The 14,492-nt window shown below is 53.2% G+C and overlaps 4 annotated features.

Annotated features, from left to right (window-relative positions):
• Positions 3,177 to 3,709: an enhancer, noted in NCBI's record as "H3K4me1 hESC enhancer chr22:39664844-39665376 (GRCh37/hg19 assembly coordinates)". NCBI's record gives its function as "activates a minimal SCP1, AML or CMV promoter by ChIP-STARR-seq in naive H9 embryonic stem cells {active_cell/tissue: H9 hESC(naive)}" and the evidence as "EXISTENCE:reporter gene assay evidence [ECO:0000049][PMID:30033119]".
• Positions 5,478 to 5,747: an enhancer, noted in NCBI's record as "active region_19039". NCBI's record gives its function as "activates an Ori minimal core promoter by ATAC-STARR-seq in GM12878 lymphoblastoid cells {active_cell/tissue: GM12878}" and the evidence as "EXISTENCE:reporter gene assay evidence [ECO:0000049][PMID:35858748]".
• Positions 5,928 to 6,007: an enhancer, noted in NCBI's record as "active region_19038". NCBI's record gives its function as "activates an Ori minimal core promoter by ATAC-STARR-seq in GM12878 lymphoblastoid cells {active_cell/tissue: GM12878}" and the evidence as "EXISTENCE:reporter gene assay evidence [ECO:0000049][PMID:35858748]".
• Positions 9,629 to 10,128: an enhancer, noted in NCBI's record as "H3K4me1 hESC enhancer chr22:39658425-39658924 (GRCh37/hg19 assembly coordinates)". NCBI's record gives its function as "activates a minimal SCP1, AML or CMV promoter by ChIP-STARR-seq in primed H9 embryonic stem cells {active_cell/tissue: H9 hESC(primed)}" and the evidence as "EXISTENCE:reporter gene assay evidence [ECO:0000049][PMID:30033119]".

Raw genomic sequence — 14,492 nt, 5'->3', positions numbered from 1 at the left:
CTGAATTCTACACTTTAAATGGATAAATTATGTGGTATATGATTTATATCTCAATAAAGCTGTTTTTAAAAATCCAAAAGGGGCTGGACATAGTGGCTCATGCCTGTAATCCCAGCACTTTGGGAGGCCGAGGTGGGTAGATCACCTGAGGTCAAGAGTTGGAGGCCAGCCTGGCCAACATGGCGGACCCCCGTCTCCATTAAAAATACAAAAATTAGCTGGGCGTGGTGGTGTGCGCTTGTAGTCCCAGCTGTCCAGCTATTCAGGAGGCTGAGGCATGAGAATTGCCTGAACCTGGGAGGTGGAGGTTTCAGTGAGCTGAGATAGTGCCACTACACTCTAGTCTGGGCAACAGAGTGAGACTCTGTCTAAAAAAAATAAAATAAAATAAAAAATCCTAAAGGAGGGACCTTCTACCAAATACCCAACCACCAACCACCACTCCTGAAAATATCAGGATCAGGAGAGTCTGAGGAGCCATCACGTTTGGGAGGGGACTAAGACTTGATGACCTGATGCCATGTGGGATCCTGGCCAATCCCGGAACAGAGACAGGACATCAGTGGGGAAGCTGGTGATGTCTGAATACAGTCTGTATCTCAATGCTAACTCCCGCACTTTGATAAAGGCACCATGGTGATGTAAGATGTTAACATTAGGGGAAACTGGGAGGCAGGTACATGAGAAATTTCTGAATTATTGTCACAACTCTTCTATAAATCTAAGATGATTTCAAAACGAAAAATTAAAAAAAAAAATAGAAGGTGGCTGGGCGCAGTGGCTCACACCTGTAATCCCAGCACTTTGGGAGGCCTGGGTGGATCACCTGAGGTCAGGAGTCCGAGACCAGCCTGACCAACATGGTAAAACCCCGTCTCTACTAAAAATACAAAAATTAATCGGGCATGGTGGTGAGTGCCTGTAATCCCAGCTACTCAGGAGGCTGAGGCAGGAGGATCACCTGAATCGGGAAGTGGAAGTTGCAGTGAGCTGAGATTGCTCCAGTGCACTCCAGCCTGGGTGACAGAGTGAGACTTCGTCTCAAAAAAAGAAAAAATAGGAGGGGAGAGAGTCAAAGTCAGAGAGGAAATGTGGCAGAAGGAGAGATCAGATGAGAGTTTGCAGACGCTATGCTGCTGGCTTTGAAGACAGAGGAAGGGGCCACAAGCCAAGGAGTCCAGGCAGCCTGTAGAAGCCGGAGAAGGCAAGGAAACGGTTCTCCCCTGGAGCCTGCAAAAGGAACTCAGCCCTGCCGAGACCTGGGCCTCCAGATCTGTGAGAGAAAAACTTTGGGTTGTTGTAAGTCACCATGTGAATGGTAGTTAGTTACAGCAGCAATAAGAAACTCGCAGAAGGCAAGGAGGCGATACTGATGACGATGGCCACAGTGATGGGTACTTTGAGTGCTTAGGAAGGGCCCAGACATGTTCTTCAAGCACTTTACATAGGTTAACTCAGTTAGTTTTCAGATATTGTTCTGCGGGATGATTATTATCCCTGTTTTATAGACAAGGACACAAAAGCACAGAGAGGTTAAGTAACTTACCGAAGGCCACACAGCTGCAAACACAGAGGGGGATTCTCACCCAGGCAGGTGGTGGCTGAGTCTGTGCCTGTGACCACCGCCCCCCACTGCCCGGCAGCAGCGTGTTTGTGAACTCTGACCCCGTTTGCTCAGGACTAGGCCCTTTACAGAAAGGATTTGGTTTAACGTCACCACCATCCTATGGGGTAGATGTTCCTGTCATTCTCCATTTTACAGGTGGGGAAACAGGCCCAGGAAGATGGAGCCCCTTGCTCAGGGTCACAAGGCCAGAGAGTGTTCCCCAATGCTGCTGCCTCCTTGCTGGGGCTGGAGAAGGGGACTCATGTTACCTGCAGTGGGTTCCCACTCTGCAGCCCCCTTGCACCCCTGCCCTCTCCGGTCCCCATCTCCACATTCCCTGTGCTCCCTGATTGGAATGACGTCCCATCAGATGTCCCCACACTACTGCATGCCAGAGGCTACAGGAGGCTTCATGCCTCTTGGCCCCATTGTTTAGGCCAGGAAGCCACCCCCTCCCTCCTTGGCCAGAAGAGACAGTCTCTGGGGAGAGGGTTCCTTCCCAGAGAAGCAAATGGCCAGGAAGCAGGCCGTGGCTGGGCCCAGGACAGAGATACATGCTGGCCCTTTAAGGGGAAGGGGCCGGGGTGGGGGCTGCATCACTGGGTCCCTTCTTTTATTGTTGTTGTTGTTTTTTTGTTTCGTTTTGTTTTTTTTTTTTTGAGATAGTCTTGCTTTGTTGGTCCGGCTGGAGTGCAGTGGCACTATCTTGGCTCACTTCAACCTCCACCTCCTGGGTTAAAGCGATTACCCTGCCTCAGCCTCCAGAGTAGCTGGGATTACAGGTGTCCGCCACCACACCTGGCTACTTTTTGTATTTTTAGTAGAGACAGGGAGTGGGGTTCTCACCATGTTGGCCAGGCTGGTCTCGAATTCCTGGCCTCCAGTGATCCGCCCCTGCTTGGCCTCCCAAAGTGCTGGGATTACAGGTGAGAGCCACTGCACCCGGCCCTGGGTCCCTTCTTATCAGGAACCCTTAGAGGGGGTGGACCAGGGCTAAGGGCAGCTGGCGGCAGCAACTGGAGTTAGGGTCAGGGGCTCCCTCTGGAGTTAGGGTCAGGGGCTCCCTCTGGAGTTAGGGTCAGGGCCTCTTGCTGAAGCCATGGCTTCCTCCCTCCCTGGGCTTAGTCTCCTCAGCTATAAAATGAGACGGTGGGGCTGGGGGCTCTAGGCTCCCCGCATTCTGTGAGCCCATGACCCCGGGGGTGGGTGCTCCCCTGTTCATTAATAATAAGATGACCACTTACTGGGGTGTCCACCAGGGGCTCTTCCCGTGAAGGCTCACAGTGACCGGGAGGGAGGAACTCCACTACAGTCTGTTTTAGAGGTGAGGAAGCCAAGGCGCAGGGTGGTTAGGAAATGCCTCAGGTCATGCAGCCAGTGTAGGGTGAAGCTGGGGTTTTCTGGGCCACCCTAGGCCAGCAGCCGTCCTACTGTCCTGCAGTCACTGCTGTTTCTTCCTTTCTCTCTTAATCCACATGGAGCTGAGGGGGTGGGAGGTGGCTGGGGTTTGGAGTGCGAGCGGGGGGTCTCCCGTGGGAGGCAGTGGAAACTTGGGAATGTGTAAGTCACTGGTGCTGGTGCTCTAGTCTCTCCCATCCAGTCAGGGCCACACCTCCCTCTGGGCTGGACCGGAGCTCTGAAGCTAGCTGTAAACCCTCCCTGGGGTCAGGGAGGGCTCCCTGGAGGAGGTGGCGTCTCAGCTGAGCAAGAGTAAGCATGAAGCAGGTAAAGGCAGGAGGAGAGGGTGTTCTGGGCAGAGGGAGGCTCTCCTCAAATAGGAAACCTCCAACCTGACTTTTGAGCTCTGGCTCTCAGGCCCATGTCCACAGTGGTCTTAGACCTCTGCTGCCCTGGGGACCCTCTGAGCTGCCCCTGGCTGCGGTGGGGCAGTCTGTCCCCCTGCCAGGGTCTCCCAGGACCTGACAGTTTTCCCACTGGACTGTCAGGCAGGCGTGGCCAAAAGCCTGGACTCAGGATCCGAGTCGCTCTGGTTCAAATCCTGCCCCTGTCCCTTGTAGCTCTGTCACCTCAGCCAAGTGACTTCATCTTCTTGTGACTTGTCTCTGGATTACAATCATTAACATCCCTCCAGCCGAGTCAGGAATGGCCAGGACCCAATGAATGTGTGCAGAAAGGACGGCCAAGAAGCTCAGTGTGGTGTGTGTCAAGGTAGCCAGGTCGGGCCTGGGCAGAGGGGGTGCCACGACTGAGCTCCAATCCCTGGGGGCCCTCTGGGACCTGGGCCCAGTGTGGCCAGGCCTACAGAGTGTTCAGAAGAAGTCAGAAATCCAGACTCTTGTGAAATCTCCCAAGTTTTAAGGGAAGGCCAAATGTTAGAAAACAGTTTGGGGCTGAGGAAAACCAGGACCCTGCCCTTAGAGCTGATAGATGTCACCCTCTGCCGGCCCACCTGTCCCCAGGTGGGATGCAAATGAGAAGCCATGCAAACGAACACCTCACATTGCATATAACCAAATGCGGAGGTGGGTGAGGATATACCCTTCTTCCCATCATGCCTTGTGGTAGAAACGCCTGGAGGGCACAGGCTTTGACTGTCCATTGCCGGGTCTCTGGAGCCCGGACCTGCGCCTGGCACACAGTGGGTTCACCTTCTCTGTTGAATCGAATGAATGAATGAAAATGATTAGATGGAAGCATGATGACAGAGATAGGCGAGAGACAGAGGAAGGAGCGTGGGCATGGCTAACCGGCTGAGTGGCCATGAGCAGTGTATGTCACCTCCTGGGGCTTCTCTGCTCCTCTGTAGACCAGGCATGGCTCAGGTCCTTAGAAAAGCAACTGGGTTGAGTCAGAAGCATATCACACATGGCTTGCTGACCCAGGAATTCCATGCCAGCCAAGGAGCAACCCCTAAATATGGAAAAAGGAAAGCTATCTGTAGAAAGATATTAATCGAAATATATTATTTATAGCTTCGAAAAACTGGAAATAACTGAGATTTCCAACAATGAGGGAATGGCAAAATAAACCATGGAATATGGTTTGACAAAATATTAGGCAGCCAATAAAAATGAGGTTCAGAGAAGAGGAAAAAGAAACGAGATTACAGAGAGTGAAAGAACTAGAAAAGTGGCCATGATATAATGGCAGGTCAAAAAGGCAGGATACCACCTTTTTTTTTTCTTTTAATATACAGTATGACCTCAGCCCCATTTTTTTTTTAAAGTCCTCAAACAAAAAACTATGGAAGGAAATACATCAAACCTTAACAATGATTGTCTCTGGGTGGTGGGGCTGTGGGTGGTGATTTTTCTTCCTTATTTTGACTTTTCTGCAATTTTTAGATTTTCATAAATGAACATGTATTGTTGCTTTTATGGTAAAGATATTAAAAATGATTTTTTTTTGACGGAGTCTTGCTCTGTCGCCCAGGCTGGAGTGCAGTGGCATGATCTTGGCTCACTGCAACCTCCGCCTCATAGGTTCAAGTGATTCTCCTGCCTCAGCCTCCCGAGTAGCTGGGACTACAGGCGTCCGCCACCACTCCTGACTATTTTTTTTTTGCATTTTTAGTAGAGACAGGGTTTCACCATATTGGCCAGACTGGTCTCGAACTCCTGACCTTGTGATCCGCCCACCTCGGCCTCCCAAAGTGCTGGGATTACAGGCATGAGCCACTGTGCCCGGCCAAGACATTAAAAATGAAAAAAAAAAATCAAAGGAATTCGGGGTGGGGATGGGGTGGATGCTGTCTGTGCTCTGCCCTCGAGTCTCTGAGAGGGAGTTGGCATCAGGGAAGGTTCTAGGCTTGGAGGTGGCAGCCAGGTGTCAGGGGCTGCCTGTGTGATCCTGGGCAGATCCCTTTAGGCCTCAGTGGCACATCCTGTCAGATGGGGCCTGGTCACCTACTTTTCTTTTTTCTTTTGGAGAAAGGGTCTCATTCCTGTTGCCCAGACTGGTGTGCAGTGGCATGCCATCATGGCTCACTGCACTCTTGACTTCCCGGCTCAGGTGATCCTCCCACCTCAGCCTCCTGAGTAGCTGGAACTACAGGTTTGTGCCACCACACCCGGCTAATTTTTTGTATTTTTAGTAGAGACAGGGTTTCACCATGTTGCCCAAGCTGGTCTTTAAACTCCTGGCCTCAAGTGATCCGCCCACCAGCCTCCCAGAGTGCTGGGATTACTGACGTGAGCCACTGCATCTGCACCCGGGCCTCTGGCCACCTATTTGACAGAGCGTGTAGCAAGAACAGGAAGGGAACGTGGCTGAAAACAGTATCGTTGTTAGTTCTTAGGAAGGCCAGTTCTGTTTTCAGACACCCGGAAAGATGTCAGCGTTCTTACTGGGGTGTCCCTGGGAGTATTTTTAGTCCCAGAGGTACAGATGTTCCTGACTCATTTTGGAAAGTAGAACTGGGGTGATCTCTAGACACGCATCACTCTGTGTGGGAGGGGCATGGCCAGGAAGTCAGAGTCCTGGGTTCTAGGGCTGGCTCTTCCCATACTGCTGTGTGATCTTAGACGAGTCACTCAGGCTTCCTGGGCCTCAGCTTCCCCTGTGCAATGGGCTTTGGACACAGAGATCACTAAGATGAATAAACTCTCTGTTTAAACGAGGCCTTCTCCCCCAGGCCCTAAGGGGCAGGAACCCAGGAGTCTGAGAGTGAGCCCCTTACCGGCTGTGGTCCCCAGAAACTTTTTTTTTTTTTTTTCTTGAGACGGAGTTTCACTCTTGTTACTCCAGGCTGGAGTGCAGTGGCACAATCTCGGCTCATTGCAACCTCTGCCTCCCGGGTTCAAGCGATTCTCCTGCCTCAGCCTCCCGAGTAGCTGGGACTACAGGCGCGTGCCATCACGCCCTGCTAATTTTTGTATTTTATTAGAGATGGGGTTTCATGATGTTGGCCAGGATGGTCTTGATCTCTTGACCTCATGATCCACCCGCCTCGGCCTCCCAAAGTGCTGGGATTACAGGTGTGAGCCACTGTGCCCAGCCTCCCAGAACCTTCATATGTGTCCTGTTACCTTATTTCCAGCCACCCTTCCCTAGGGGAGTATGTATGTGTGTAAGGGTATGTGTGTGTGGGTCTATGGAAACTCAGTTCACCATGATGGGATCACCTTGTTTCCCTGGACCTCCTCAATGGTATTCCACTGCTCGGAGTGTCTAGTGGTGGGGGAGGATGGAGGCTGCCTCGGAGCAGGTGGTGTGTCCAGGAAGAGAGTGCCTGTGATGGACCGGACGCCCGTCCGTGTGGTGTGCACACACATCCCCAGCCCGCGCGAGCAGGGAGCTGTGATGGGGCCCGGGGAGTTTCTGGCTACCCTTGTCCTTGGTGCCATGAGGAACCTCAGAAAGGACTCAGTCCTGAGCACTCCCAGGCTCCCACTCTGACACATGTAGTAGATGTGTGCGACAAGCACATCACGTCCCTGTAGACGCAGCTCAAAGCCTAATCATGGTGCATGCACTTTCTGTGCTTTCTACAGGCCCAGCTTTCCACAGAACCAGCGCCAGGAACCTTCAGAACGATTCTGTGAGACAGGCACTGATTCTCTTCAGCATTTACTGATGGGGAAACAGAGGCTCAGAGAAGTTAAGAAACTCACCCAAGGTCACACAGCAGCAAGTGGCAGGCAGGATTCAAACCCAGGCTGTCTGGATCAGGCCCACACCGTGACTCACGCATAGACTCTTCCAGCTGCTGCTCTGGCGATAAGGAGAAGCCCAGCAGAGACCGGTGGCTTTCCACGGTCACGTCGCAGATTAGTGCAGAGCCCAGGCACACTCCAGGACCCTGGACTTGGGAATGGGTTCTTTGCCCATGAACGTGAGTGGAGCCATCTGTCAGAGTCCTGGCTTCTATGCCCAGCACGGGCCAGGCAAGCAGGCCAGTGGAGAATGTGTCAATTGGACCTGAATAGCTTTCCATTTATCACCAGTCTATCCTTGTGCCAAGCCCTGTACCAGGCCCTGGGGTACAGAGACGAGCAAGACTCATTTTCTGCTCATAACCCAGGGACTTCCAGAAGGAGGTGACGTTGAGATTTGGTCAGATGGAGGAGGGCAGACAGGGCGTTCCGGGCTGGGGAAATGTCTGATGCATCTGGGGAATCTCCATGGTTTCTGGGAGGGTTGGGGAAAGCAAAGGAGAGGAGTTTTTGAGGGTCTGACGCTGCTGGGGGCAGGTGGGTGGGTCAGGGAGTGGGGACAGCTGCTGAGTCCACTGAGGCTCTGGAAGTTTCAGGCCCACCCTGGGGACGGAGATGTAGTCTAGGGAAGGACGTGCCCTCCACTTCTGGGTCACAGCTGGAAGGGGAAGTGGGGGCTGGGCACAGGGTCTGAGGTCACAAGGCAGGGACAGGGAGATGGTAGATCAGTACCCCAGCTGGTCCCTCAGAGGCGGGGAGGGGAGAGGGAAGCAGACCCAGCACCCGGCTTCTCTGACCACAGCTCCTGCGGCGCCTCCTCACTCACTTCCCCAATGCGACAAGCTCGTCCCCACCACAGGGCCTTTGCACCTGCTGTTCCTCCTGCCTGAAAATGCTCTCTCCTTTCAGCCACTTGCCTCCCCAGAGCAGGCTCCAATTTGCTCATTTGTTCACTGTCTGTTCCCCTCTTGGGACATGGGCTCCATGATGGCAGGCTTGGTCTGTCTTTGCCACTGACTCCCGGCTCCAAGCACCGTGCCCAGCACACAGTGGGCCCTCAGCAACAGCACTGAGCACTTGCTATGTGCCAGGCACGCCTCATGGGCAGTAACTCATTTAATTCTCAAAACAACCCTCTGGGTAGGGGACTAGGGGCCTGAAGCTGAGTCAGTCTCGAGATCTTCTTCCAGGAAAACACATGATTGTGGGTATGAGAGAGGCAGGGTGCCTTGGAAGGGGCCATGCACATGAGGCATGCCAGAGCTTAGGAGTCAGGAGCCAAAGGGCAAATATGCCCCTGCCTCTGGGGTGGGGGGTAGCCCCATGGTAGATGTGAGGAAACTGAGGCACAGAGAGATTAAGTAAGTTGCCCCTTTGGCTCGCAAGTGGCAGCCCTGGGATTTGATCCCAGGAGGTGTGGGTTCAAAGATCCCAGGAGATTTGGATGCTATATATAGCTTTAACTCAATCAATATTTGTTGACTATGTGAGCGACTGGTTAGGCCTTGACAAATGATTCACCTTCTCTAAGCATCAGTTTCAACATCTGAAGTATGGGGTGTATCTTAAATAGGCAGGAGAGCAACCCATCTTGAGAGGCTCGACGCCCCTTCTCTTACTCTCTCACCCACTGGGTGCTATGGTTTGAATATTTGTTCCGTCCAAAACTCACGTTTTAAGGAAACTTAATCCCCAGTGTGGCAATGTTGAGAGGTGGGCCCTTTAAGAGGTGATGGGGTCAGGAGGGCTCCGTTCTCAAGAATAGATTAATCCATTTGTGGACTAATGGGATAATGGGTTATCATGGGAGGGGAAGGAAGAGAGGCCTGAGCATGTTAGCCCGCCCAGCTCCCTCACCATGGGATGCCCTGCGCCATCTTGGGAACCTGCAGAGAGTCCCCACCAGCAAGAAGTCCCTCACCAGCTGTGGCCCCTCAACCTTGGCCCTCTCAGGCTTCACACCTGTAGGAAATAAATTCCTTTTCTTTATAAAGCATCCAGTTTCAAGGCCGGGCGCGGTGGCTCACGCCGGTAATCCCAACACTTTGGGAGGCCAAGGCGGGCAGATTACAAGGTCAAGAGATTGAGACCGTCCTGGCCAACATGCTGAAACCTGTCTCTACTAAAAATACAAAAATTAGCTGGGTGTGGTGGCGGGCGCCTGTAGTCCCAGCTACTCAGGAGGCTGAGGCAGGAGAACTGCTTGAATGTGGGAGGCAGACGTTGCAGTGAGCTGAGGTCGCAACACTGCATTCCGGCCTGGCAACAGAGCGAGACTCTGTTTCCAAAAAATAAATAAATAAACAAAGTATCCAGTTTCAGGTATTCTGTTATAAGCAACAGAAAGCAGACTAAGCAAGGGTTTCAACTGGGCGGAAAGGTTCTGGTGTCCTTCATTCATTCAACAGACATTTGAAGGTCTATTTTGTGCAGGGCCTGCTCTATGCACTGAGGATAAAGCAGTAAAAACAAAGTCCCTGTTGGCAAGGGCTCATATAATGATGGGAAGAGGTAGACAACAGACAATTGAGATCTAACTTATCACCACCATGAGGAGGCGGGGCATTCAACAGAGAGAAATCAAGCAGAGGAGACTAGGGACTTTGGTGGAGGGGAAGTGGGGGTGGGGAGGCCTCCCCAGGGAGGTGATGTTTTAGCTGAGAGCTGAAGGGCTGAGGGATGGAGCCAGCCAGACACCTGGGGGAAAAGAACTAGGTAGAGGGAACGGCGCTGTCAATGGCTCTGAGGAAGGGAAGTGCTTGGTGAGTTTGGGGACACAGCCAAGAGGCCCGAGGGGCTGCAGCAGAGAGAGGTGGGGCGGGTGGGCCAAACTGAGGTCAGATAGGTCCTGGGGCAGGTCTTGTTGGGCCTGTGGGTCACTGTCAGGACTTGAGTGCCATGGGAGCCACTGGAGGGCTCTGAGCAGGGTCATCTCTGCCCTGTAGCCCCACTTGGGCTGCTGTGCAGGGGACAGACTGCAGGGTCGGGGCAGAAGTCAGGAGGCTACCACAGCCATCCAGGCAGGAGGTGACAGTGGCTTGGATTTGGGTAGTGGGTAGAGATGTGAGATGGGTTGGCTTCTAGGTTATTCTGAACTTCAGTCCAACAGGATTTGCAATGGGTCATGATCTAACTAGCTACTGCTGCATAACAAACCAACCCCAAATGTAGTAGCTTAAAACAACAAGAATCACTGGATCATTTCTCATAGTTTCTGTGGGTCAGGAATTTGGGAAGGGCTTAGCTGGGTGGGCTTGCTTGGGGTCTCCATGCAGTTGCAATTGCAGTTGCACTTCGTAGCTAGAGCAGGTGCAGTGGGCACTGGCCGGGCCTCTCTCTCCTCCCCTTGTACTCTCTGGGTCCCTCTGTTGGGTCTCTCCGTGTGGGCTGATTGAGCTTCCTCACAGCATGGCAGCTCAGGACTCCTGAGGCAAGCGTCCCAGGAAAACCAAGCAGAAACAATATTGCTTTTGATGACCCAGCCTCAGAGGCCACAGAGCTTTGGTTCTGTGGATTCCAGTTTATCTGGATTCAAGGAAAGGGAATGCAGACCTCACCTCTCCACAGGAGGAACATCAATATGGCATTGCAAGAGGAGCATGTGGGATATCAGGCATTGTTGTGGTCCCTGCTGGAAAATGCAGCCTGCCAGAGATTGACGAAGCTGAATTTTTATCCTGTCACTGTGTGTCCATGGGCAAGCTGCTCAGCCCCTTGATATCTCTGTTTCCTCATTTATAAAAGAGAGCAGAGACCAGCTGCCTCCTCAGATTGGGATTCCATATGGGCCATGCCTCTTGTGGGGATGAGCTCAGACAGGCTCAGCCATGAGCTGCCATGCTGTGAGGAAGCTCAACCAGCCCACACGGAGAGACACAACAGAGTGGCCCCCAGAGTACAAGGGGAGTAGAGAGAGGCCTGGCCAGTGCCCACTGCACCTGCTCTAGCTACGAAGTGCAACTGCAATTGCAACTGCATGGAGAGCCCAAGCAAGCCCACCCAGCTAAGCCCTTCCCAAATTCCTGGCCCACAGAAACTATGAGAAATGATCCAATGATTCTTGTGAACTTCCCTTCCCTACTTCCTGCCACCCACGCCTGCTCCACTCTGTGCAGCCTGGAGAAGGTCCTCCACAGGGAAGATGGAAACAAACGTGAGTGGAGTGGCTGTGCCTTGTGGGGGCATCGACTCTGCGCCATCTGCCTGGGTCTGGACTGCTTGCTCCACGAGTGCTTGTGTGTGCCTTTGCATGTGCGGGTGTGTGCACACTCGTGCGCTCATGGGCCTGTGAGCGCATCTTTCTCTTGCCCACACCAGAAGTTTCTCCGGTCCTCTTCTCTGGGAGGCACACCTTAGGCTCTGAACAGCAGCCTTGGCAGGCAGCCCCGCTTAATCCTCACCTGGGCCTGAGGGCTCCTCCTGGATCTTTTTTTTTTTCTTTTTTTAGACAGAGTCTCGCTCTGTTGCCCAGGCTGGAGTGCAGTGGCGCGATCTCGGCTCACTGCAAGTTCCACCTCCCGGGTTCATGCCATTCTCCTGCCTCAGCCTCCCAAGTAGCTGGGACTACAGGCACCTGCCACCACGCCTGGCTAATTTTGTTTTTGTATTTTTAGCAGAGACGAGGTTTCACCGTGTTAGCCAGGATGGTCTCGATCTCCTGACCTCGTGATCCGCCCACCTCGGCCTCCTAAAGTGCTGGGATTACAGACGTGGGCCACTGCGCCCGGCCTCCTCCTTGATCATTTTTGATGCGGCCCCTCCTTTCCCTTCCTGGGCCAGGCTCACCATGGTCACCTGTCCCCTGTGACCTCACCCTGAAGGGTTCCTCGCTCCTCCTTGGCCCTCGCCAACACGGCCCTGTTGGAGGCCCACTGGACAGCCAGAGCAGCCTATGCAGATGCAGGTATGAGAGCATCACTCTCCTGCTTATGTGAAATTCTAGAAAAGGCAAAATTCAGGCCAGGTTTGGTGGCTCACACCTGTAATCCCAGCACTTTGCGGGGCCAAGGCTGGGGCAGATCGCTTGAGGCCAGGAGTTTGAGACCAGCCTGGCCAACATGGTGAAACCCTGTCTCTACTAAAAATACAAAAGTTAGCTGGGCATGGTGGTGGGGCCCTGTAATCCCAGCTACTCAGGAGGCTGAAGTGGGAGCACTCCGGCTTGGGTGACAGAGCTGAAAAAAAATAAAAGAAAAAGAAAAGGCAGAATTCTAGTGCTGGAAGGCAGGTCAGTGGTGCCCAGGGCAATTGGGAAGGGAAGGACCTGCCTGGGAAGGGAAGGACCTGCCTGGAAAGGAGCAGAGGGGACCTGGAGTGGTGGTCACGTGCTCTAAAGGTTCTCCATTCTGATTGAGGTGGTGGCTACTCAACTGTGTCCCAGAGTTTGGACAATGGGTGAGTTGTATTGTGTGGAAATTACACCTTGCAAAGCTGACAACAGCAAATCCCTCCCAGGCTCCTCATTCATTCCAGGACCTGTTAAATGTCTCCTGTGTGCCTGGCCTTGTTCCAGGCTCCGGGGTGCAGTGTAGACAAAACACACAGAACCTCTGTTTTCACAGGCCAGGGAGTCGGCCAAGAATATAATGACATGGGACATTACAGCAGGGATGCTAAGGACGCCAAGGGGACCATTAGAGCAGCCCAGGAGACAGGAGAGACCAAGCCCTGAGGCCTTTGACCACTTGGACCCTCTCCACGCACCTCCCACCCACCCTGATGTCTCTCTTTGAGGCTGGGTCCCTTAGTGGTCTGGGGTGGGCCAGGCTGTGGGAGAGAGGGGCCCCGGTGACCTGTGCCCACCATCCAGCAGGAGGAGATGCCAGTGAGGTAGAGACACAAGGACATGCTCCTGCCGGGCATGGTGGCTCATGCCTGTAATCCCAGCACTTTGGGAGGCCGAGGCGGGTGGATCACCTGAGGTCAGGAGTTCAAGACCAGCCTGGCCAACATGGTGAAACCCTGTCTACTAAAAATACAAACATTAGCCAGGCATAGTGGTGCATGTCTGTAATCCCAGCTCCTCGGGAGGCCGAGGCAGGAGAATCGTTTGAACCCGGGAGGTGGAAGTTGCAGTGAGCGGAGACTGCGCCACTGCACTCCAGCCTGGGCGACAGAGAGAGACTCCACCTCAAAAAAAAAAAAAAAACCCAAAAAACAACAATGACAAAAAATATATACTCCTGCTCCCCGATCAATGGCAGGGGCGAGGGGACAAGCTGCCTCAGGTCCTGTGTGCGTCTCCTGGGCGCTCACACGAGGTCAGTGGTATGCACTTACCAGGCCTGGCACACACGTCTCACTCGGACACTGGTGCACAAACACCTGGGCTGGGCCCATGAGCAAATCCGCGCCACTTATTTGGTGCCTGATCTCTTTCATGCACATCCAATGGCTTCCACACCCTGGGAGCACCACCTCTGGGCACAAACACACACAGGCTGGTGCACACACACACACGTACACACACGCATACTTGTGCACATGGTAAGAGCTCATGTTTATTGAGCACTTACTCTTACGTATTTTATTTCTTATTTATTTATTTATTTATTTTTGAGACAGGGTCTTGCTCTGTTGCCCAGACTGGAGGGCAGTGGCACGATCATAGCTCACTGAAGACTCGAATGCCTGGGCTCAAGGGATCCTCCCGCCTCAACCTCCCAAGTAGCTGGGATTAAAAGTGCACTACCACACCCAGGTAAGTTATTGATTTGTGAAGATGGGGTCTTGCTTCGCCGCCCAGGCTTTTATGTATTTCATCTCAATCTTCCCAGCAGTCCTGTGAGGCAGGTACTATCTTAGCCCATTTTACGGATGAGGAAACCAAGCCACTGAGGGTTTGTTATCTTCCTCAAAGTCTGAGACTGATAGTGGCAGAGATGGGATGAGAAGTCAGGCTTTCTGGCTCCGGGCTCTGGTGTTTGTGGCTGTCCGTAGAGACCACCAGGTGTGGGGGACCCCCATGTCCAGTGTCTCCTGCCCCGCCCCATTGGAAGCCCTGTGCCCTACACGTGCACAGCACCTCGCAGCTTGCAAAGCCTCCTCCCGCCCCGTGAATGGGGGATAGGGGTGTTAATCATCCCCGTTGTTCAGAAGCAGAAACCAAGGGACAAAGGACAGTTGTTCAAGGTTGCTCGGGGGTTGATGACAGAACCAGGACCAGATCCCGCTTCCCGGCTGCTTGTCCGTGGGTCTGGCTCTGCTCCTGGGGAGGGAATGTGGCCTCAGGGACCTCCAGGTGCACTGCCCTCCTGCTGCATAGACTCAGG

This window comes from Homo sapiens, chromosome 22 (genome assembly GCF_000001405.40).
Source record: "Homo sapiens chromosome 22, GRCh38.p14 Primary Assembly".
Lineage (NCBI taxonomy): Eukaryota > Metazoa > Chordata > Mammalia > Primates > Hominidae > Homo > Homo sapiens.
This window is presented reverse-complemented; position numbering and strand designations above follow the sequence as displayed.